This window comes from Homo sapiens, chromosome X, assembly GCF_000001405.40.
Source record: "Homo sapiens chromosome X, GRCh38.p14 Primary Assembly".
In the NCBI taxonomy this organism is placed as follows: Eukaryota; Metazoa; Chordata; class Mammalia; order Primates; family Hominidae; genus Homo; species Homo sapiens.
Genome location: NC_000023.11, coordinates 119,915,883 through 119,941,399, shown reverse-complemented (window position 1 = coordinate 119,941,399; position 25,517 = coordinate 119,915,883). Strand labels below are relative to the sequence as shown.

Here is a 25,517-nt window from a genome sequence, read left to right as displayed (position 1 = left end):
GGCTGGAACATAACTATTCCATAAGTGTTAGCTATTAATGTTTCATGCATGGGAGCAAAAACAGTAAAAACAGTCCTGAGTTAGGTTGGAGACCCATCTCTCCAAGTTACATTTTTCAGAAACATACCCACAGGCTATGTCAGTCAAAAAGTAAATAGTTTCTTCTTGGAGAATCCTCACCAAAAGATGTCAGAAGTGCTTGGATGAAACTTGCATATGTACATTTAGAAAATAAATAATTTATCTTTTTTTTTTTTTTTGAGATGGAGTCTCACTCTGTCTCCCAGGCTGGAATGCAGTGGTGCAGTCTCGGCTCACTGCAGCCTCCACCTCCTGGGTTCAAGTGGTTCTTCTGCCTCAATCTCCTGAATAGCTGGGATTACAGGTATGCACCACCACACCCAGCTAATTTTTGTGTTTTTAGTAGAGACGGGGTTTCGCCATGTTGGCCAGGCTGGTCTCGAACTCCTGACCTCAGGTGATCCACCAGCCTCAGCCTCCCAAAGTGCTGGGCCCGGCCAATAATTTATCTTAACATTACAGATGAAACCAGGTGACAACAGGACTTCCTGCTATTTACAGCCTGGTAGGCGTTCTTCCCCCGATATCCATACATTCCAAGTACAGCTATAAATATGTTACCTTTTAAATTGTCTGTTACTTCAGGTGGGAAACCCTCTCAGTCTGACTCTGCATAGTTATAATACCTTTTCCCCTGATTAAGGAGGCAAAAACGATTTATACAAAAACTCATTGCAATTATATTTATTTTGGAAGGATTTTTAAAAACAAATGGAGTCACAAGCAGCTAAAATTTGAGAGAATGAGCCTTAGTCTTTGTTTTGTTTTGTTTTTTAGTTTATGAGGAATAACAAAAATTAAAACAGAAGAAACCATAGGCATAAAACAAAAGAAGAAACAAATTTTAGTGTCCTTCAAAGAATAGATACAAAATGCACTCCTTTTCCAAAAAGGAACTAAAAGGAAAACAGAGAGGGAACAAACCTTGTATCTCATTGAGTATAGTTTTTTTTTTTTTTTTTTTGGTTTTTTATTTTGAGATAAGAGTCTCACTCTATCACCCAGGCTGTCATGTGCAGTGGCGTGACCTTGGCTCACTGCAACCTCCACCTCCAGGGTTCAAGAGATTCTCCAGCCTCAGCCTTCTGAATAGCTGGGACTACAGGCACATGCCACCGTGTCCAGCTAATTTTTGTATTTTTTTTAGTAGAGACAGGGTTTTACCATGTTGGCCAGGCTGATCTTGAACTCCTGACCTCAGGTGATCCACCTGCCTCGGCCTCCCAAAGTGTTGGGATTACAGGCGTGAGCCACCACGCCCAGCCCCAAGTATATTTTTTGTTAAATGAAACTTTTTGACTAGGTGCAGTGGCTCATGCCTGTGATCCCAACGCTTTGGGAGGCTGAGGCAAGAGGATTGCTCGAGGCCAGGAGTTCAAGATCAGCCTGGACAACAAAGCAAGACCTCTTTTTTTTTTTTGAGACGGAGTCTCGCTCTGTCTCCCAGGTTAGAGTGCAGTGGTGCGATCTTGGCTCACTGAAACTTCCACCTCCTGGGTTTAAGCGATTCTCCTGCCTCAGCCTCCCTAGTAGCCAGGATTACAGGCATGCGCCACCACGCCTGGCTAATTTTTGTATTTTTACTAGAGACGGGGTTTCACCATGTTGGCCAGGCTGGTCTTGACCTCCTGATCTCAAGCAATCCGCCCGCCTCAGCCTCCCAAAGTGCTGGGATTACAGGCATGTGCCACCGCACCTGGCGGCAAGACCTCATCTCTACAAAAAAATAAAAAACTTTTATTTCGGGCCCGGTGCAGTGGCTCACGCCTGTAATCCCAGCAACTGAGGTGGATCTCCTGAGGTCAGGAGTTTGAGACCAGCCTGGCCAACACGATGAAACCCCATCTCTACTAAGAATACAAAAATTAGCCAGGCGTGATGGCGCATGCCTGTAATCCCGGCTACTAAGGAGGCTGAGGCAGGAGAATTACTTGAACCCAGGAGGCGGAGGTTGCAGTGAGCCAAGATCGTGCTACTGCACTCCAGCCTGGGCGACAGAGCGAGACTCCATCTAAAAAAATAAATAATAAAATAAAATAAAAACTTTTCTTTCATTTTCAGAACTTCAGTTGTTTTCTACGTCTAATGCATCATTTTTATTTTCTTCATTAATTCCTCGATTTCTGAAAACTGAAGGTTTGACCATATCAAAAGAGACTTCTCTTCACCTTTCATAAATCTGTAAACAAATGAAGTTACTTACAAATGTGAAGCTGTTTCTGTCACATATTACAGATGATGAAATGAGCAGTTAAGAGCTGTGTCATGCATTCAGCAGAATGGATGCACTTGACAGTCTCCCAGGCCATCATTTCTATAGTCTGTACCATTTGATAGTATCATCAGAACATCAGACCTTAAGTGATGAGTTTACATTTAAACCAAGTTTTTATCCATGTTTAAAATATAAAGGGAAAAAAGGCTTAACTAGACTCCTATTGAATTTGATTATATATTTAGGAAACAACTCAGCCATTGAGTTATAATTTACATGTCTTTATCTGCTAGGAGATTAAGTGAGAGAGAGAGAATTGGAGAATTGGGAGCTCCTGAAGTATGGGGACTTTCTCCAAAGAATCCTGAACCAGAGTAAGTGGTTAAAAAATATATTTTTAAAATGTTATAATATGTGTTTAAATCCTGAATCTATTGTGAAAATGTTTAAGTGAAGAACTTTAAATATATCTCACATTTTTCTTTCTTGTGATTTATGTTCTTCTACCCCTTAAGTTTTAAAAACATAGAACATATCTAAAGATTAAAACATGTTGCTAGTAGGTTTTAGCATAATCTAAAATAATTCCTGGAATATAATTTTCCTATTAATAGAAGGGTTCATTGTTAAATAATACACATTATTTTGAATTATTTTTTCTCAACTAAACTCAGTGGCAGATTGCATGCCAGATATTAACATTACAAAGAGATTTTTTTTTTTGAGATGGAGTCTTGCTCTGTCGCCCAGGCTGGAGTGCAATGGTGCGGTCTCAGCTCACTGCAACCTCCGCCTCCTGGGTTCAAGCGATTCTCCTGCCTCAGCCTCCCGAGTAGCTGGGATTACAGGTGCCTGCCACCATGCCCGGCTAATTTTTGTATTTTTAGTAGAGACGGCGGTTTCACCATGTTGGCCAGGCTGGTCTCGAGCTCCTGACCTCGTGATCCGCTTGCCTCAGCCTCCCAAAGTGCTGGGATTACAGGCGTGAGCCACTGCGCCCAGCCTACAAAGAGATTTTTTAAAACGAATATACCAGTATGGTTTTGTTAATATTCCTATATCCAATACTATCTGCAGACTTAATGCTTTTTCTTTTTGCTTATTTCTTTTCTCTTTGATGCTACTCATAAGTTTCTTCTTCCCTCTCTGTTTCTGTGCCAACTTTAGGTTGAGTTGAGACAATGTGCTTGACAGGTAAACCTGTAATTTGTGATTGGATAATAAAGCATTATTATCTGAAACTTGTTCTTACAGATACCTTTAGAAAATGCTTGAAGAGGCCAGGTGCGGTGGCTCACGCCTGTAATCACAGCACTTTGGGAGGCCAAGGCAGGTGGATTCCTTGAGCCCGGGAGTTCAAGACCAGCCTGGGCAAATAACAAGACTATTTAAAAGAAAAAAAAAAGAAAACACTTGAAGAACCTGAATGTATTGAATTAGAGTTGGAAGGAACCCTAAAAATAGTTTTCTTTCTTCTTTTTTTTTTTTTTTTTTTTGAGACAGAGTCTTACTCTGTCACTCAAGCTGGAGTGCAGTGGTGCGATCTTGGCTCACCATAACCTCCGCCTCCCAGGTTCAAGTGATTCTCCTGCCTCAGCCTCCCGAGTAGCTGGGATTACAGGTGCATGCCACCATGCCTGGCTAATTTTTGTATTTTTAGTAGAGATGGGGTTTCACCATGTTGGTCAGGCTGGTCTTGAACTCCTGACCTCATGATCCGCCCACCTCGGCCTCCCAAAGTGCTGGGATTACAGGCGTGAGCCACTGCACCCAGCCAAAATAATTTTCTAGATAATATTTAAATTACTCCAAGTATGATCTTCAGAGGAAAAGATTATATGATGTGGAAACTCCTTTTCTAAACTATTGTAGAATTTGAATAATACTCATTTTCAGAATTCTCTGCAACAGAACAACATCTCTTTAGACTGTAGTTTGTTAGGTTTTTGCTCTGAGGAGACAGAACAGTTGCTGCTTTACCATTTGTCTTTTACGTGCTTAAAATAAAATTATAAAGTCTTTCTTCAGCCTTCTTATACCCAGTTTCTTTAATCTTTCCTATGGTTCCTGTTTCTCTACTTTTTCCCTGTGGTTTCTTGTGAAAATATAAATCCTCCATGCTGCTTTGTTTAAATAGTACTATGTAAACTCTAAAGTGTTATGCAAATGATAAGTTATTTTATTATTACAAAGATGGTAGACCCTTGAACTGCACGTTTATGAAAGTAGTTCAGTGCTTGCTTTGTTGTTGTTTTGGTTTTTTTGATTCCCAAGTTCTGCCTTAGGATCTCCAATGCTTGCTTTTAATGGTTCTTGGACAATCGATGCTGTTACTGAAAAATTTGGAGTTCATATCTTTACACTCCATGGTCCATATCTCATCACTTTCCTAATTCTTATAACCATTTTATTTAAATTCAGTTCTGATGAACATACACCAGTGGAGGATGAAGAGCCAAAGAAAAGCACTACTTCAGCTTCTACTTCAGAAGGTATTTTTAAAAAAAGGGTATTTTTAAAATACAAGCTATTTTATTGAGAGATTTAAAAAAATCAGTTTGTAAATAGTTGAACATTAGACTTTGCTTTTACTCAAATTGCCCATCGTCTGTTTCTTTTGATGTTCAGAAATAGTTTTTTAGAATATAATTTTTTAATTTGTACTTTCTTAGAAGAAAAAAAGAAGAAGTCTAGCCGTTCAAAAGAAAGGTCCAAGAAAAGGAGAAAGAAAAAATCATCGAAAAGAAAACATAAGAAGTATTCTGAAGATAGCGACAGTGACTCTGATTCTGAAACAGACTCCAGTGGTAAGAACGCCAACAGCATTCTGCAAGCCTTGCTTCAAAACTAGTTTTACTTCTTAAAACTTATTTTAGAAGAAGGTTCCTGAAAACAATAATAATACTGAAGAGTTTTTGAACACTTGCTAACCTTGTGCCAGGTACCCCAATAAGTGCTTTATATTTATTATTGCCATTTAATCCATACAATAACTGTAGGGTACATCTTATAGATGAGGAAATGGAGACAGAGCAGGTTATAAGTACTATCCCTAAGGTCACACAGTTTGGATTCAAACCTAAGCAATCTGACTCCGGATTGGGATTGGTTGTGCAAAGTGTACAAGGCACATGGCACCAGACCAAGTCAGGGGGTTGGGCTGTACCAAAGTAAGCCTTACAGGGCTGCATCGGCCCAGTGGAAGGGCTCTTTTGTTTAATTCTCATGCCCAATGAGCACCTCTACAGTTTTCAAAAAGGTATGCCATAAAGTGCCTACTTCATGCTGGCTGCCTATTTGTGGAAGGCACCCTATCTGGGGTAGTGCATCACAAAGAGTCTCCTTTTTGTACTCTCTCCTGGCTGATGATTGACCAGAAGGTGCCTCCTCTGAGGTTAACACATTACACAAAGATTCACCTTCCTCTGATATCGCCGAAGTTTCCTGGCCCTCCCTGTCACTTCTCTTCCTCAGTGCTCGAAGACAGAACTTTCAAATATTTCTGTATGCAACACTTAAAAAGAGGCATTTTTATACTTAACTACAACACTATCTCATACAATAAAATTAGTAATAATACCCTATACACCAAATACCTACTTAAAATCCTTCAATAGCACTCCATAGCCTTCAGGGTAAAGTTCAGACCCTGACTCATTTCTCTCTAATCACATATACCCTGTTACACTCTCTTGCAACATCCTCTGTAATCTGAAAACTACTTTCTGTCTCCTCAGTATTCCATGTTCTTTCTCTTGTTACTTGGTAGAGAGGCCCTCTGCCTACAATGCCAGTCTCTCCCTCCATCCAGCTTGGTTTACTCATTGCACCAATGGGCATGCATTACTTTTGTAATCAAAGAACTACTTTAAGAGTCACCTTTCCTGATCAACCATTCCTCAGCCACCCTCCTCAAATCAGTCTGATTTTGAGACTCCTCTGTGTGTCCAGGTTCCCCAAGCTTCCCTCTATCATTCCAGATTGTATTGATCTCTTTACCTATCTGTCTCCTCCATTAGACTGAGCTCCAGGAAAGGATTCTCTCTCCCCTCTCCAACACACACATAGTTTTCTTTCCCTTTTTATCACAAAAATATTTAAATATTCAGAAAAGCGAAGAGAATAGTATAATTAATACCATATACTTAATCACCTAGATTTGGCAGTTGTTGGTATTTTTACATATTTGCTTCAAATATGGGTTTTTCACTGAGATAGTCAAAGTTAATTACAAATATCATCACACTTCCACCCTAAATATTTCTGTATGCATCCCGTAAAAAGAGGCATTTTCCTAATTAGCCACCACACTATCTCACACAATAAAATTAATAATAATACCCTATATCATCAAAACCTAGTGACTTTAATTTCTATGTTCATAGTACCTCCCTACAGTTCGTGACAAATAGCAATAAATGTTTCAATGAGGTAATTTCTTTGTAACAATAAATGGGACAGCAATAGGATAGTTACCTACTCAAAAGTACTACGGTTTTAGAGTTAAAAAATTTTTTTCTTAATTGTAATGTGCTTTAATTTGCAGATGAAGATAACAAAAGGAGAGCAAAGAAAGCCAAGAAAAAGGAAAAGAAGAAGAAACACAGATCGTCAGTTTTTTAAGTTTTATTATGGAAAATTTCTTTTCTTTTTTTTTTTTTTTTTTTTTTTTTGAGACAGAGTCTCACTCTGTCAGGCAACAGAGTGCAGTGGTTCGATGTCAGCTAACTACAACCTCCGCCTCCCAGGTTCAAGCGATTCTCATGTCCCAACCTCCCGAGTAGCTGGGATTATAGGCACCCACCACCATGCCTGGCTAATTTTTGTGTTTTTAGTAGAGATGGGGCTTCACCATGTTGGCCAGGCTGGTTTCGAACTCCTGACCTCAAGTGATCCTCCCACCTTGGCCTCCCAAAGTGCTGGGATTACAGGAGTGAGCCACTGCACCCGGCCAGAAAATTTCAAATGCATATAAAATTACATAAAATAGTATAATGATCCTTCCTGCACCTGTCATGCAGTCTAAATAATTATCAACTCATGGGCAGTATCTGCCATCCATCATTTATTTTGGACCCAATCTCAGATATCATTCCATCCATAAGCAATTCAGTACCTTTCTCTAAAAGATAGGCATTCTTTTTGTTTTGTTTTGTTTTTTTTGAGATGAAGTCTCGCTCTGTCGCCCAGGCTGGAGTGCAGTGGCGCGATCTCGGCTCACTGCAAGCTCCGCCTCCCGGGTTCACAAAGATAGGCATTCTTTAAAACAAAACAAAACAAAAAACTGGCCAGGCACAGTGGCACATATCTGTAATCTCAGCACTTTGGGAGGCCAGGCAGGAGGATCGCTTGAGCCCAGGAGTTCAATACCAGCCTGGGCAACATAGCGAGATCCTGTCTCTATATTTAAAAAAAAAACAAAAACCCATAACCAGAATGCTATTATTGTGCCTAAAACATTTAATAATAATTCCTCTATTCTCAGCAGTTTTTTCTGTAGTTTATTCCAATCAGGATCCAAATAATGTCCCTAAATTGCAGTGACCGTATTCTTATGGTATTCTTTGGCATGTTCTGTCCTCTGTATTTCCAATAGATTAATAGGTCTAGAGGCCTGAGAAGGCTCAGATTTGAGTTGGGGCAAGAATACTTCATAAGTGGTGCTGTTTACTGTCAGGAGGCAAATAATGTCTGGTTGTCACTTTTTGTCATATTAACAGCCATTGATGGTCATTATCTCGATCCATTATTTCATTAGGGGTTGTAAAATGGTGATAGTCTAATCCTGGCTTTATCCTTCATTTATTAGGCAGAATGATTCTATAAGAGAAACTTACCCTCATCAACTATTTAGATACCCTGAAATATAGTTTATATTGTAAGAGCAGGATAATTGCTTGATTTTTTTTGTTTTAATGACTTTTCAAATAATGAATTGGATTTTTAAAAAGTATTATTAACCCAAGGATTTAAACATATTTGACATATTTTAATCCATTACACATAAAATTATTCATAATGTTCAAATTGTTGGGACTTTTTAGGCTGTTTTATTTCTGTTGTCTTTCTACAACATCAGAACTGTATTTCATTGTTCCCTTTAGTGAATTTTTTTTTTTTTGAGACCGTGTCTCACCCTGTCACCCAGGCTGGAATGCAGTGGCACGATCACAGCTCACTACAACCTCAACCTTCCAGGATCAAGCCATCCTCCCACCTCTGCCCCCACTTTCCCCATACCTGGGACTACAGGCGTGTGCCACCACACCTGGCTAATTTTTGTATTTTTTGTAGAGACACGGTTTCGTCATGTTGCCCAGGGCTAGTTTCTAACCCCTGGGCTCAAGTGACCCACCCGCCTCAGTCTTCCAATGTGCTGGGATTACAGGGGTGAAACACTACACCCAGCCTCCTTTAGTGATAATTTTTATAGCAAAAGATGATTTGGTTAAATAAGTTAGAATACTTTTTAAAAAAATTCTTAAGAGGCAGTGTCTCGCTCTGTTGCCCAGACTGGAGTGCAGTGGGCTAATCATAGCTCATTGCAGCCTCGAACTCCTGGGCTCAAGTGATCCTCCCGCCTCAGCCTCCTGAATAGCTTAGACTACAGATGTGTGCCATCACACCCAGCTACTTTTTTTTTTTTTTAATAGAGACGGGGTCTTGCTCTGTTTCCCAGGTTCAGTTAGAAGCAGATTTTTTTAAGTAAAATTATCTTGTAAGTTTGAATAAGCTGGGAATTCAGATCATTTTATTGTCACCTTTCTTTGCCTTGAAAAATTAAGATGTATAGTCACCAGTTCAAAATTTAAAAAGAAAAGAAAAATTAAGATGCCCTCTAACATAGGAAGATTAAGTGAATTTGTATCAAATTAAAATCCCTATAGGAAGAAATATAAGAAAAAGAGGTCTAAGAAGAGCAGAAAAGAGTCCAGTGATTCAAGCTCTAAAGAATCCCAAGAAGAGTTTCTGGAAAATCCCTGGAAGGATCGAACAAGTAGGTTCTTCTGATAGACTAACTCAGAACAGATGAAACATTAAAGTAACCAATTAGTCAGAATGTGAATGTGTTTCTTAATATCTTTCATGCAGAGGCTGAAGAACCATCAGATTTAATTGGCCCAGAGGCTCCAAAAACACTTACCTCTCAAGATGATAAACCTTTGAAGTAAGCAGCAGTGTGTTTATAATATCTAAAGTACCTACCAAAAAGTCTGGTTCTAACTTACCTTGCCAAGCTTATCTGACTCTATTCCCTTATTTCTACTCCAGGTTCCAGCTGAGCTGGACTACTAAATATTCCCTGGGCTTAATGTGCACTTTGCAACTTTTATGCCATGTTCAGCTTATTTCTTCATCCAGTATGCCTTCCCTTCTTTTCCCTGCCCTCTGTTTTCTTCCCTATCGCCAGTTTCTTCCTGTTAAAATCCTTACTATCCTTCGAAGCCCTTTTCAAAAGGAGATGCATATGCTGATTCCCAATACTTCCCCTCCACAAGTAGGTGTGATTTCTGTTTCTCTTTGATCCTCACAGAATTTTTTATTCCTTTTTTTCTCTTTTTTCTTTTTTTACCAGCAGAATTTTTTTTTCTTTTTGTGAGACGGAGTCTCGCTCTGTTGCCCAGGCTGGAGTTTAGTGGCGTGATCTTGGCTCACTGCAACCTCTGCCTCCCAGGTTCAAGCGATTCTCCTGCCTCAGCCTCCTGAGTAACTGGGATTACAGGCACGCGCCACCACACTCAGCTAATTTTTTTTTGTATTTTCAGTAGAGATACGGTTTTACCATGTTGGTCAGGCTGGTCTCAAATTCCTGACCTCATGATCCACCTGCCTCAGCCTCCCAAAGTGCTGGGATTACAGGCGTGAGCCACCGCACCTGGTCTAGAATTTTTTTTTTGTTTGTTTTGTTTTGTTTTTTTGAGATGGAGTCTCACTCTGTCTCCCAGGCTGAAGCACAGTGGTGTGATTGAGTTTCACTCTGTTGCCCAGGCTGGAGTGCAGTGGCATGATCTTGGCTCACTGCAACCTCCACCTCCCAGATTCAAGTGATTCTCCTGCCTCAGCCTCCCAAGTAGCCAGGATTACAGGCGCCTGCCGCCACGCCCGGACTAATTTTTGTATTTTTAGTAGAGCTGGGGTTTCGCCATGTTGGCCAGTATGGTCTCGAACTCCTGATCTCAAGTGATCTGCCCGCCTCAACCTCCAAAAATGCTGAGATTACAGGCGTCAGCCACTGCACCCAGCCTACTTTGTTTTTTTTTTTTGTTTTGTTTTGTTTTGTTTTTTGAGACAAAGCCTTACTCTGTCGCCCAGGCTGGAGTGCAGTGACACGATCTCGGCTCACTGCAACCTCTGCCTCCCAGGTTCAAGTGATTCTCCTGCCTCAGCCTCCTGAGTAGCTGGGACTACAAGCATGCACCACCATGCCCGGCTAATTTTGTATTTTTAGTAGAGACGGGGTTTCGCTATGTTGGCCAGGCTGCTCTCAAGCTCCTGATCTCAGGTGATCCTCCCGCCTCAGCCTCCCAAAGTGTTCAGATTGTAGGCGTGAGCCACTGTGCCTGGCATACTTTGGATTTTTTAAGGGAAAAAGGGAAAGGGAATCAGCTGGAGCCAGAACCAGTAATGACAATACCTGTAGGGATAAATTAATCCATAATTGTAAACTGTGAATCTATACTCACAGCAGTTCTTTTCTTTCAAAATATTTCTGCATTTCTGGGTTAGTTGTATAGGTCATAGTGCAATGCAATGTTTAATACACTAATTAGGATAAAGCAATTCACATTGAGCTTCCTAGCACACTACTGCTGAGCACTGTTATTCCTACTCTTGTTTGAGAGAAAATGTGGGGATTTTTGGTGCTCTCTTTAGATTATAAGCTTTTAATATTAAGATGATTTAATGGACCTTTTCTGAATTCTGAATTACTTTGTAGCTATGGCCATGCTCTGTTACCTGGTGAAGGTGCAGCTATGGCTGAATATGTAAAAGCTGGAAAACGTATCCCACGAAGAGGTGAAATTGGCTTGACAAGTGAAGAAATTGCATCATTTGAATGCTCAGGTTATGTAATGAGTGGTAGCAGGTATGTTGTTGGCATTAAGCTCAGTTTCCATGATTAGATCTTTTTCTTCTTTTTTACTACCAGAATTATATTTTGGTAATTGATTTTCATTAAGTGACTGTTTCTTATGAAAAGTAGAGTATAAATATTGGTTTGATATTAGTGTTGTTAGTATAACATGGTTTTCTGCAATTCCAAGTATATATGCAACTCAGCCTCAAACTCAGCTATATCTCTGACTTCAAAGAATCAATCTTCCTAATGTCCTTTCCTAGTTGGTATTTGCTTACAGATATTTTATCCACTGGAGGATATAGTTAAATTCAGCTATTTATCACTGCCCCATGAGGAATGTGGCAGTTAGGAAAATATTTTCACAAGACAGTGTTTCCTGGTTACAAGTTTGTCTTCAGTTTTTTATGGACCCAGATTTCTGAGACTGAATAACAGAAAAAGATGATAAAAGACATTGGTCAGCTGAGAATATATCCTGGCTAATAAATAAATGAATAAATAAATAAATTTTAAAAAGACACTGGATTCAGCATGGGAAATGAATATAAAATTAGGAAAGAGAAAAGTTCCAGGAAGAACCAGGAGAATGAGCAAATAGGGCAGCAGTACTTAGATCAAATTGAATTTTGGATTCTTTAAAACTTGATAAACTTTTTTTTTAAGTAGATAACTATTTTTAAATGACACTGAAGGCAAATATTTGCAGAAACCCTGAAGCACCTCCAGAATCTTGTAATACTGAGGACCAATATTTGAAGCATTGCATTGGAGGACCCACACAGTAAGGCAAGAAAAAGAAATTAGAGACACAAGGATTGGAAAGGAAGGCTGGGCACGGTGGCTCATGCCTGTAATCCCAGCACTTTGGGAGGCCAAGGCAGGCAGATCACTTGAGTCCAGGAGTTCAAGACTAGCCTGGGCAACATGGCGAAACCCTTCTCTACTAAAAACACAAAAATTAGCCAGACGTGGTGGTACACACCTGTAATCCCAGCTACTCAGGAGGCTGAAGCAGGAGAATCGCATGAACCCAGGAGGCGGAGGTTGCAATGAGCCAAGATCACACCACTGCATGCCAGCCTGGAGAGCAAAACTCAGCCTGAAAAAACAGTAATAATAATAATAAGGATTGGAAAGGGCGATATAACAATGTCATTTTTTAGCCAGGCGTGGTGGCTCACGCCTGTAATCCCAGCACTTTGGGAGGCATAGTTGGGTGGATCACCTGAGGTCAGGAGTTCAAGACCAGCCTGGCCAACATGGTGAAACCCTGTCTTTACCAAAAATACAAAAATTAGCTGGGCATGGTGGCGGACACCTGTAGTCCCAGCTCCTCAGGAGGCTGAGGCAGGAGAATCACCTGAATCCAGGAGGAGGTTACAGTGAGCCAAGATCGTGCCATTGCACTCCAGCCTGGGTGACAAGAGTGAAACTCCGTCTTAAAAAAAAAATGTCATTTTTTTGTGAATGACATGGTGAATGATTTGATTGTTTACATAGAAAATCCCAAAGAATCTCCAGATAAATTATAAATGAGAGGAGGGTTTAACAACTGGTTGGATATAAGGTTAGTACACAAAAATCCATTGCATTTCTATTTACCAGCAACAGACAACTAGAAAATGTAACTAAATAAGAAGAAAACATTTGTAATAGTATCAGAGAATATGAAGGACTTCAGAATAAATCTTAACAAAAGATGCCCAGGGCTCTGTGAGGAAAACTATAAAACATTATTAAGAGATTGTGTATTCAATACAGTTCCAATAAAAATGAACTGCATTTCTATTTACTAACAACAGAAACCTAGAACCTTGAACGTTTATAACAGTGTCAGAATATGAGAGACTTAAGAATAAATCTTAACAAAAGATGCCCAAGGTTCTATGGGGAAAAATGTAAGACATTAAGAGTCCATATCTTCAATATAGTTCCAATCAAAATCACAACACAGTTGTTTATGAGACTTATTAAGCTGGTTCTAAAATTTATATATTACACTAAAAGGACAAGAATAGCCAGGTCACTTCTGAAGAAGAAGAGCAAGAAGGTAAGATTAAAGAAAACTTAAATAGCTGGAGAGATACCAGGTTCACGGATAGGAAGGCAATATTGTAAAGTTGTCATTTCTTCCCAAATTGATCTTTATATTCAATACAGTCCCAATCAAAATCAGAACACAGTTTTTCATGAAACTTAATAAGCCAGTTCTAAAATTTATATACTAGACTAAAAGGACAAGAATAGCCAAGTCACTCCTGAAAAAGAAGAGCAGGAAGGTAAGATTTCCCCTACAAATAGGAGGACTTATTATGAAGCTTACAGCACTTTAGAAAGCATAGGAGAACAACTGAATTGTTCAGTGGAATAAAATTCAGGCCGGGCGTGGTGGCTCATGCCTGTAATCCCAGCACTTTGGGAGGCTGAGGCGGGTGGATCACCTGAGGTCAGGAGTTCAAGACCAGCCTGGCCAACATGGTGAAACCCCATCTCTACCAAAAATACAAAAATTAGCTGGGCGTGGTGGCTAGTGCCTGTAGTCCCAGCTACTTGGGAGGCTGAGGCAGGAGAATCGCTTGAACCCATGAGGTGGAGGTTGTAGTGAGCTGAGACCTCGCCATTGTACTCTAGTCTGGGCAACAAGAGCAAAACACTATCTCAAAAAAAAATAAAATAAAATTCAGAGCCCAAAGATAACCATACACGTATGGAACTTCAGTGTATGAAAGAGATAGCATGTCAGATCAATGGGGAAAGAAAGAACTATTCAGTACATGAAATAGGAGGCTGAGGCAGGAGAATCGGTTGAACCTGGGAGGCGGAGGTTGCAATAAGCCGAGATTATGCCACTGCACTCCAGCCTGGGTGACAGAGGGAGACTTGGAAGTTAAATCCACTGATAAAAACTGCTGTTCAATTACAGATTTAGACTTGGTTCTTTTTTTTTTTTTTTTTTTTTTGAGACCTAGTTTCACTCTTGTCTCCCAGGCTGGAGTACAGTGGCGCAATCTCAGCTCACTGCAACCTCCACCTCCTGGGTTCAAATGATTCTCCTGCCTCAGCCTCCCAAGTAGCTGGGATTACGGGTGCCCACCACCACACCCAGCTAATTTTTGTATTTTTAGCAGAGACGAGGTTTCACCACGTTGGCCAGGCTGGTCTTAAACTCCTGACCTCAGGTGACCTGCCTGCCTCAGCCTCCAAAAGTGCTGAGATTACAGGCGTGAGCCACCATGCCCAGCCTAGACTTGGTTCTTTTGGTTTTATGGTAAAGTAGAACCTTGAAGGAAGTTCCATCTGATTAATGACTAGTTAAATGTTTTATCTATCCTACTTCCAATTCCACAAAGGCAAATGGATATGTCACCTAGGAAGTTTAATAATTTGCCCATTTCTGATTGTTTTACTGGAAACAAATTAGACGTATACCCTTAGTATTTGAAATTAATGATAGCGGCCAGGCATGGTGGCTCACACCTGTAATCCCAGCACTTTGGGAGGCCAAGGCAGGTGGATCACCTGAGGTCAGGAGTTCGAAACCAGCATGGCCAACATGGCGAAACCCCATCTCTACTAAAAATACAAAAATTAGTCGGGCGTGGTGGCACACACCTGTACTCCCGGCTACTCGGGAGGCTGAGGCAGGGGAATCACTTGAGCCCAGGAGGCAGAGGTCGCAGTGAGCCAAGATTGTGCCACTGCACTCCAGCCTTGGTGACAGAGCCAGACTTTAAGACTCACAAAAAGGAGAAAAGAAAAAAGGATAGGCCAGGCGCGGTGGCTCACGCCTGTAATCCCAGCACTTTGGGAGGCCGAGGTGGGTGGATCATGAGGTCAGGAGATCGAGACCATCCTGGCTAACAAGGTGAAACCCCGTCTCTACTAAAAATACAAAAAATTAGCCGGGCGCGGTGGCGGGCGCCTGTAGTCCCAGCTACTGGGGAGGCTGAGGCAGGAGAATGGCGTGAACCCGGGAAGCGGAGCTTGCAGTGAGCCGAGATTGCGCCACTGCAGTCCGCAGTCCGGCCTGGGCGACAGAGCGAGACTCCGTCTCAAAAAAAAAAAAAAAAAAAATTAAAAAAAAAAAAAAAAGAAAAAAGGATAACATTTACTATGTTGACAGGAAATCAGAGATCATTATTTGAATAGTGGAAATGAATCAAAGACATATCAGGGCCGGGCACGGTGGCTCACGCCTGTAATCTCAGCACTTTGGGAGGCTGAGACAGGCGGATTACTTGAGGTCAGGAGTTCGAGATCAGCCTAGCCAACATGGTGAAACCCCATCTCTACTAAAAATGCAAAAATTAGCCAGACCTGTTATCTCAGCTACTCAGGAGGCTGAGATGGGGGAATTGCTTGAGCCAGGGAGGTGGAAGTTGCAGTGAGCCGAGATCGTGCCACTGCATTCCAACCTAGGCAACAGAGCAAGACTCCATCTCAAAACAAAACAAAAAAAAAGGACGTGTCAGGCAGCTAAAATATTAATAAATGATCTTTTGGAAATTTAACCCATTTCAATTTTTGTCAGCTGTTAAATAGACCACTCTGGGTAAGAAAGGATTAATGATGATGTACTATGAAAATAATTACTGAGAAATTAAGCCAAAAATAAAATTCTCTCCAGGCATCGCCGAATGGAGGCTGTGCGACTGCGAAAAGAGAACCAGATCTACAGTGCTGATGAGAAGAGAGCCCTTGCATCCTTTAACCAAGAAGAGAGACGAAAGAGAGAGAACAAGATTCTGGCCAGTTTTCGAGAAATGGTTTACAGAAAGACCAAAGGGAAGGATGACAAATAAAGATTTTCTGATTGTCCAGAAGACATTTTTAACAACAAAAAAGAAAGTCTGGGTTCCACACATACATAGAAAAAGATTATTATGTTCTGAGAAAGCTTTACAGTGCTACTGTGCCTTCTATTTAATTCTTTCAGTCCTTCAATAAAAAGCTGCTTATTGATATAACTTTAGCAAGTTCTTTGGGTTATTTTGGATTGACCATAGTAACTTTCTGGTTTAAAAATCCAAATTATGGGCTGGGCACGGTTGCTCACGCCTGTAATCCCAGCACTTTGGGAGGCTGAGGCGGGTGGATCACTTGAGGCCAGGAGTTCGAGACCAGCCTGGCCAACATGGTGAAACCCTGTCCCTACTGAAAATACAAAATCAGCCAGGAGTGGTGGCGCACACCTGTAGTCCCAGCTACTCGAGAGGAAGAGGCAGGAGAATTGCTTGAACCTAGGAGGTGGAGGTTGCAGTGAGCCGAGATTGTGCCACTGCACTCCAGCCTGGGCGACAAAGCAAGACTGTGTCTCAGAAAAAAATAAAAGGCCAGGCACGGTGGCTCACGCCTGTAATCCCAGCACTTTGGGAGGCCAAGGCGGGTGGATCACCTGAGGTCAGGAGTCGAGACCAGCCTGGCCAACATGGTGAAACCCTGTCTCTACCAAAAAATACAAAAATTAGCCGGGCGTGGTGGTGGGCGCCTGTAATCCCAACTACTCGGGAGGCTGAGGCAGGAGAATTGCTTGAATCCAGGAGGCGGAGGTTGCAGTGAGCCGAGATTGTGACATTGCACTCCAGCCTGGGCAAGAAGAGTGAAACTCTGTCTCAAAAAAAAAAAATCCAAATTATGAATAAAATGCTACTGTATTGGAGGAGGTGGCTTGAACAAAAAGTGTTAGTGAGATGAGAAACTTCAATCTCACACCATGAGACAGTGCTACTATTAGCTCTATGTGATGCCTGCCCCACCCCGACCTCTACCCCAGCTGAACTTTTGGGAAATTATCACTCCTCTGTGTTGAATGTGTTATAAATGGACTTGATAGGAACATATAGGAGGCCACTTTTGTTAACAAAATGAAGGCATTGCTGCGAAAAGCAAATCTGGAATTTGAAAACTGACTTGTGTACTATAATATATGATCTACCCTGGAAATAATGGGTTTTGATTTAAGTCCCTACCTCCACTCTAAAACCAACAAACAAACCAAAAAGCAAACTAACCCACAGATTTGTTGAATTGAAAATGTGAACATTAGATATTTTAAATTGTTTTTTTTGAGATGGAATCTCGCTCTTGTTGCCCAGGCTGGAGTACAATGGGGTGATCTCGGCTCACCACAACCTCCACCTCCTAAGTTCAAGCAGTTCTCCTGCCTCAGCCTCCTGAGTAGCTGGGATTACAGGCATGTGCCACCATGCCTGGCTAATTTTGTATTTTTAGTAGAGATGGGGTTTCTCCATGTTGGTCAGGCTGGTCTCGAACTCCCAACCCCAGGTGATCCGCCCGCCTTGGCCTCCCAAAGTGCTGGGATTACAGGCATGAGCCACTGCGTCCAGCCTAAATTCTTAATAAGTTACTTAAAAATAGTTATTTGAAATATAAAGTCTTAAGAAGTCTACTCTTATCCCCATGTAAATACTTTATTTCAATCTGAGCTGATATGAGCTTGAGGATAGGATAACATCCAAAAGAATAGGAGTCAACTATGGTCAAGAGTTTTGATAAGGAAAAATATAATGAGTCAGTATTTTAGCTTAATTGTTTCATAAGAGAAACTAAAATGATATTAAATATTTTTAACTGTCTTTCATATACTAAGTAGATTTCATTTTAAACACTTAAACCTTTCTGTTTGTTTTTAAGTTGGGGAGAAATGGAAAATTGTGGGACTATGATATCGTGGTCTTGTTCCTTTGTTTATTTCGTTCAATTTTAATTAGGTCAGAAGAGTGAATGGGGGAGGGAACCCAGGAAGTTTTGGCTGTTTTCATTAAGGTTGGTTTTCTGTTTTTTGTTTTTTGAGATAGAGTCTCACTCTGTCACTCAGGCTGGAGCCCAGTGGTGTGATCTCGGCTCACTGTAACCTCTGCCTCCTGGGTTCAAGTGATCCTCCCACCTCAGCCTCCCAAGTAGCTGGGATTACAGGCACTCACCACCACAACTGGCTAATTTTTGTATTTTCAATAGAGATGGGGTTTCGCCATCTTGGCCAGGCTGGTCTCGAACTCCTGACCTCAAGTGATCTGCCCGCCTCAGCCTCCTGAAATGCTGGGATTACAGGTGTGAGCAACCGTGCCTGGCCGTTTTTGTTAAGGTTATTTGATCTGCATTATTATTACATGCCTATGATAAATTTAAATTACCTGAGTGATAAGGACATTCTGATTATACTATTGTAAAATGCCCGCTTGCCTTATATTTTTAAGTGGTTGTTTTTCAAAAGTGTTTAAATAAGGCAGTCATATTTCAAAGTATAGAGCAAAAGTTTTTTTATTATTATTTTTGAGACAGGGTCTCCCTCTGTCACCCAGGCTAGAGTTCAGTGGTGCAATCTCGGCTCACTGCAACCTCCACCTCCTGGGCTCAAGCAATCCTCCACCTCAGCCTCCCGAGCAGCTGGGACTACCAGTGTGCACCACCATGCCCAGCTAATTTTTGTATAGTTAGTAGAGACAAGGTTTCACCTTATTGCCCAGGCTGGTCTCAAACTCCAGACCTCAAACAATCCGCCCGCCTCGGCCTCCCAAAGTGCTAGGATTATAGGCGTGAGCCACCACACCCGGCCCAAAGTTTTATAATTAAACAGTATTAACAGTCTTAAATACTATTAAATATATGTTCCAGGAAATGTCTACTTTTAACCCGCAACTACTGAAAATAAGAGTCAGCATGTAGCAGCATTAATGACCCCTGAATTTGAAATGATTTCTGTTTATTTATACCTAATTGTAGTTGCTGCCTAGCCTAATAAATCTGTAGTTTTCAAAAGTTAAAAGAAACTAGTTCCCAAAGTTTTGAGTCTCAATCCATCTACTTCCCTGAATAATAAAACCTGAATTTTGTAATACCCACTTAAAAATTTTATTCTCAGCTGGGCGTGGTGGCTCACACCTATAATCCCAGCACTTTGGGAGGCCGAGGTGGGCGGACCATGAGGTCAGGAGATCAAGACCATCCTGGCTAACATGGTGAAACCCCATCTCTACTAAAAATACAAAAAATGTAGCCGGGCATGGTGGCACGTGCCTGTAGTCCCAGCTACTCGGGAGGCTGAGGCAGGAGAATTGCTTGAACCTGGGAGGTGGAGGTTGCAGTGAGCCGAGATCAAGCCACTGCACTCCGGCCTGGGAGACAGAATGAGACTCCGTCTCTAAATAAACAAACAAATAAAAATGTATTCTCTAAGGACATTTTTTTTTTGGTTACTGGTTCCTAGAGATGAAATGATTATCTTATTTTCAGTAGGCAAGGTAGTTTAAATGCAGAAATTCTGCGATATATGAATATTGTGACATCAAGAACAGCTTCATTGGCATATTCTTTGGGAAAGAGGCAAGAAGAATAAAAGGGCTAAAAGTATTTTATTTTCAGCTTATGAGTGTTGTTACTGCTTCAAATTGTGTTTAGTCACCTGAGCCATAAATCAGTTGTAGTAGGGCTATTGTATTTTAAATATATTTTTTGTTCTCCAAGGAGACTTATCTAGTTTGCCACCTCCTTGCCTATTGCTCTGATGTGGTTTTCCCTCCTTTTTTATTTATTGCACAAATATCTAACAGTTAAAAAAGAAAAATTTCAGTACCATATCAATTGTCTTTCATATTTTGTGTTCCTCCTTTCCAGTGCTTTTCTATGTAAGTAAATATTCTGATGTACTTGTAAGTAATCACTCAGAGCATAATGTAATTTTGTCTTTGGTGTCTTAAAATTTTGCAGCCAGGCAAGAGAGGTTCACAGGGAAGGTAGGAACAAGTGATTATTCAGTGTGAGGATGGGAAGAAGATCAAAGATAAGTAAGGGCAATGATTGTATCCTTCCCGTGTCATTGCCCCTAGTCCCCAAGCCACCCTCCTGCAATCATGAGTATAGTGGTGTATTGTGGAAGGCAGCATGCCCAGTTTTCCAGTTTCAAAATATATTATTTAGCAGTGAGGCTTAACTCCCAGTAAATGAAGGGGTCTGTGAGTAGGGGAACCCTTCAGACTGGTTATATTATGAGCTGTAGAACTGTTGCCATTTTGTTGTTCCCAGTTGTGCCCATAAAGAGATGTGTCTGAGCTGGAGACTTAGGCTCAGATGGGGAACAAACAGCCAAGTACCAACCTTAGTTTGGTCCAATAGGTGAATTTTAGCAACTCTCTAAACTCAGCTCTATACCTGTAAGACTCAGAAGTGATACATATAGTGATAGAAAAAAATACTTTAGAAAATAGAAAACAACTTACTGGTTACTCTGCTAATGTGATGGAGGTTGCAGAATGGAAAATGAATGAATGCAAAAAAATACAGCTGGATTGTGTGCCACAAGTTTATTACTCAATAAATATTCTGTGGTTTGACGTGCTGTATTGTATTTTTAATGTATCCTGATGAGAAAAACAATCCTAAGACATCCTGTAAGTATCAGACACGATTGAATAAGAAGGGGAATGACTCCATGAAACTATATTTGGCATCAGTAAGATTCTTCTGCCAGTTTTCTCGAAAGCGAACCATTCCTGGTCTACAAAGGAAGAAAAACAAACACTTTTAAAGTATTTTTAAATCAAAAGCTTTTAAAATCAAACAAAGGGGATTCCCTATTTACTCTTTTATATTCCTAGTAAGCAAGAAGCCTCTTTTATTGGCGGGGGAGGGGAGGTAGCTAAGGTTCTCTATGTCTATCCTTTACTGTTTCTTAAGCCCAGTCAATGAAAGGATTTATGAGCTTATATGTAAAGATACTTTAAGAGAGCTGCTATAAAAGGGATTATTATACATGAGTTAATTTTATGTGATATTGAAGTTTTCCTTAGAAACGATAGACATGACCCACTTTGCCTCCACCCCACTCCAGCAACTAATCCTCAAGCTTATAATGAATGAAAAACCAGACACTAAGAAAAATAATTTTCTAGAACAGTTTCAGCCCATTCTAATGGGCTTGGTGGTCCAAAGAAGAAAAGTGACCATTACATGAACTATCTGTTGTTGCGCAACTGCTGGATTCCTGGAGTGTGATGACCTTTCTCCCACCCTTTTAAAACAAACCTCCAAATGTTCATTACCTGTGAACTAATGCTTGGTGGTCACCTACATAAGAAACAACAATGGGTGCATCCTAAAAAAGAGAAGGACAACTGTTAGCCCAGACCAGTCATACCAACTCTTTTTGTTTTTTTCAAGATGGAGTCTTCTTGCTCTGTCTCCCAGGTGTAAGTGCAGTGGTGCAATCTCAGCTCACTGCAACCTCCACCCCCTGGGTTCAAGTGATTCTCCTGCCTCAGCCTCCTGAGTAGCTGGGATCATAGATGCCCGCCACCACACCCAGCTATTTTTTTTATTTTTAGTAGAGACGGAGTTTTACCTTGTTGCCCAGGCTGGTCTCGAATTCCTGACCTCAGGTGATCCGCCCACCTCGGCCTCCCAAAGTGCTGGGATTACAGGCGTGAGCCACCACGCCCAGCCCAATCGTACAAACTTAATTCCTTACTTCCCTACACTTGCCCATATGCATACTTTTGAATTTCTAGAATTCATCTTGCTTATGAATTGGGAATCTATAGGTGATAGTTTTTTGTCACTTTAAACCTCCGTTCCCCAAAATATCTTTTTGACAACAAATACCTTAAGAATCTTTACAATATTGGAAATAACTTGGGACAGGCTTGTGCTCCTCATTAATAGGAGTGTAAGTCATTAACCTTCTTTACATGCTCCACTTTACTCAACTGACAATCTCTACCTCATAGGAATGGCATGAAAATGAATTAATATAGATGAAAAGGTGAGAAACATTTTTAAAGCAGCATAAACATGTAGGTTGTAATATTGTCTCAGTAGTCCCTCCCATCCTCGCCTCCAAAATTATACTTGGAATTTTGAGCAAGAGCCATTCTCCCAAGACCTCTCTCTGTGTGGTCTCTGGTGTAGTCTTGTTCCCCTCCACCAGTCTCATTTCCTGACCTCTGACCTGGCCAATTAGCAAGACAGCTGGTAGAGGGATATATGACCAGAAGTAAGATCTCCGCATATTGCACCTCTTTAGATTACTGCAGGTTCCAAACGCTCTGAATAGGCACATTTGTACTAGGATAGGATGAATATAGGACATAGATGGCTCACTGACTGTGTGGTCATATACAAAATCTTAACATCAGGCCAAGGTGCAAATAACTTTTGGGAAAGGATGGGAAGGCAAAGAGGAAATAAAATGTTTATGTCTGTTATGTTTCAGGCACTATGCTTGGTACCAGCCCTGCTCCTCTGACGACCCTTCCCCTAGATTCATGGATGTTATTTTGGCTCTTTTCACACCAGCTATCAAGTTAACATATTTCTTATTCATGGTCTACCTCGTGGATACCAGCAATCATTCTTTCAAGTATTTATTGAGTGCCTACTATTTGCCAGGCCTTGTTTTACAGGAAGACAAAAATCCCAGCCTTTATGGAGCTTACATTCTGATGGAGGGAATAGACAATAATAAAACAATTACAGGGCTGGGTGTGGTGGCTCATGCCTGTAATCCCAGCACTTTGGGAGGCCGAGGCAGATGGACCACCTCAGGTCAGGAGTTCCAGACCAGCCTGGCCGACATGGTGATAACCCATCTCTACTAAAAATACACAAATTAGCTGGGTGTGGTGGCATGTGCCTGTAATCCCAGCTACCCAGGAGGCTGAGGCAGGAGAATCACTCAAACCCAGGAAGCAGAGGTTGCAGTGAGCCGAGATTGGGCCACTGTACTCCAGCCTAGAAGACAGAACGAGACTCCATCTAAAAAAAAAACAAAACAAAACAAAAACAATTATATAGAATATGAAAAGGTGGTGAGTGCTATGGAGAAAAAGCATAGGAAAGTGAGTGAAAGAGGAGGTGAGGGAGCAGGCAATTCACATGCCTAGGGGAGAGTGTTCTAGTCAAAAGAAAAAGCAAGTGCAAAGGCCCTGAGGCAGGACTATACCTGACTTATTTGAGGAGAAGCAAGATCAGAATGGCCAGAGCACAGTGAGAGGGAAGGAGTAGTGGGAAAGCACAAGTAACAAGGGACCAGATCACACAGGGCCTTGTAGGCCCTTACTACTGAAAGCTGGTCTCTAGGCCTGCAGCCTCAGCATGGTCTGCGAGCTTGTTAGTCTTGCAGAATCTGAATCCCTACCCCACACCTGCTGAATCAGATTCTTCATTTTAACAAGATCCCTAAGTAATTTGTACAAACTTTAAATTTCTTTCTTTCTTTCTTTCTTTTTTGAGATGGAATCTCACTCTGTCACCCAGGCTGGAGTACAATGGCATCATCTTGGTCACTGCAACCTCCACCTCCTGGGTTCAAGCCATTCTCCTGCCTCAACCTCCCAAGTAGCTGGGACTACAGGCATGAGCCACCAGACCCGGCTATATTTTTGTGTTTTTCTTTTTTTTTTGAAATGGTGTTTCGCTCTTGGTACCCAGGCTGGAGTGCAATGGCATGATCTCAGCTCACCGCAACCTCCACCTCCTGGGTTCAAGCAATTCTCCTGCCTCAGCCTCCCGAGTTACTGGGATTATAGGCATGAGCCACCACGCCTGGCTAATTTTGTACTTTTAGTAGTGACAGGGTGTTGGTCAGGCTGGTCTGGAACTCCCAACCTCAGGTGATCCGCCTGCCTTGGCCTCCCAAAGTGCTGGGATTACAGGCATGAGCCACCGTGCCCGGCCTAATTTTTGTATTTTTAGTAGAAACGGGGTTTCACCATGTTAGCCAGGCTGGTCTTGAACTCCTGACCTCAGGTGATCTGTCCACCTCGGCCTCCCAAAGTGCTGGGATTACAGGCATGAGCTACCATGCCCTGCCAGCACTTTAAATTTTGAGAAGCACTTTTGGAAAGTTTATCTATTTTTTTTTAATTTTTATTTTTATTATTTTTTTAATTTTTTTTTTTTGGAGACGGAGTCTCGCTCTGTCACCCAGGCTAGAGTGCAGTGGCGCAATCTCGGCTCACTGTGACCTCCGCCTTTTGGGTTCAAGCAATTCTGCTGCCTCAGCCTCCTGAGTAGCTGGGATTACAGGCATGCGCCACCATGCCCAGCTAATTTTTGTATTTTTAGTAGAGATGGGGTTTCACCATGTTGGTCGGGCTGGTCTCGAACTCCTGACCTCATGATCTGCCCGCGTAAGCCTCCCAAAGTGCTGGGATTACAAGCATGAGCCACCGCGCCTGCCCTTGGAAAGTTTTAAACAGAAGAATGGGCCAGGCGCGGTGGCTCACGCTTGTAATCCCAGCACTTTGGGAGGCTAAGCCGGGTGGATCACTTGAGCTCAGGAGTTCAAGACCAGCCTGTGCAACATAGCAAGACCTTGTCTCTACGAAAACTCAAAAAAAAAAAAAAAAAAAAGCCAGGCGTGGTGGTGCATGCCTGTAGTCCCATACTTGGGGGGCTGAGGCAGGAGGATGGCTTGAGCCCAAGAAGTAGAGGCTGCAGTGAGCCCTGATCATGCCACTGCCCGCCAGCCAGGGTGACAAAGTGAGACCCTGTCTCAATAAGTAGATAGATATAGATAGATGATAGATAGATAGATAGATAGATAGATAGATAGATAGATAGATAGATAGATTAGATAGGCAGACAGATATAGATAAAACAGAGGAGTGACGGAAATTTGTTTTACAGCTGGGTGTGGTGGCTCACGCCTGTAATCCCAGCACAAAGTTTGCTGGGCATGGTGGTGTGCACCTGTAGTCCCAGCTACAAGGAAGGCTGATGTGGGAGGATCACTTGAGCCTGGGATGTCAAGGCCTCAGTGAGCTCTGATTGTACCACTCTGCCCCAACCTGGATGACAGAGCGACTCTGTCTTAAAAAAAAAAGAGAGAGAAGTTTGAGAAGCACTTTTGGAAAATTTTAAACACAAAAGTGACAAATTTGTTTTACAGCTGGGCGTGGTGGTTCACACCTGTAAGTCCAGCACTTTGAGAGGCTGAGGCAGGAGGATAGCCTGAGGCCAGGAGTTCAAGACCAGCCTGGGTAACAAAGCAAGACACCATCTCTTAAAAAAAAAAAGAAAAAGAAAAATTTGTTTTACAAGACTCATTCAGGCTGCCTGCAACATTGAAAACAGACATGATGAGGGCAAGGGTGGAAGCAGAGAGACTGATTAGGAGGCTAC

At 41.6% G+C, this 25,517-nt stretch overlaps 2 protein-coding genes across 3 annotated transcripts in view; one reads left to right on the top strand and one right to left on the bottom strand.

Annotated features, from left to right (window-relative positions):
- Positions 1 to 20,728, top strand: part of NKAP (NFKB activating protein) — a 23,080-nt gene extending 2,352 nt beyond the window's left edge. The window contains exons 2-9 of the mRNA NM_024528.4: positions 2,590 to 2,670; positions 4,718 to 4,788; positions 4,969 to 5,103; positions 6,843 to 6,906; positions 9,184 to 9,293; positions 9,389 to 9,464; positions 11,235 to 11,384; positions 16,006 to 20,728. Of these exons, the coding sequence (NP_078804.2) occupies positions 2,590 to 2,670; positions 4,718 to 4,788; positions 4,969 to 5,103; positions 6,843 to 6,906; positions 9,184 to 9,293; positions 9,389 to 9,464; positions 11,235 to 11,384; positions 16,006 to 16,180 (862 nt within the window). The 3' untranslated portion in view covers positions 16,181 to 20,728. The remainder of the gene's footprint in view (positions 1 to 2,589; positions 2,671 to 4,717; positions 4,789 to 4,968; positions 5,104 to 6,842; positions 6,907 to 9,183; positions 9,294 to 9,388; positions 9,465 to 11,234; positions 11,385 to 16,005) is intronic.
- AKAP14 (A-kinase anchoring protein 14) overlaps positions 20,684 to 25,517 on the bottom strand; it is a 24,824-nt gene continuing 19,990 nt past the window's right edge. For both annotated transcript variants that reach the window (NM_178813.6, NM_001008534.2), the window contains 2 exons: positions 21,437 to 21,489; positions 20,684 to 20,892 (listed from right to left, as the gene is read on the bottom strand). In NM_178813.6, coding sequence (NP_848928.1) covers positions 20,793 to 20,892; positions 21,437 to 21,489 — 153 coding nt within the window. In that variant the 3' untranslated portion in view covers positions 20,684 to 20,792. The remainder of the gene's footprint in view (positions 20,893 to 21,436; positions 21,490 to 25,517) is intronic.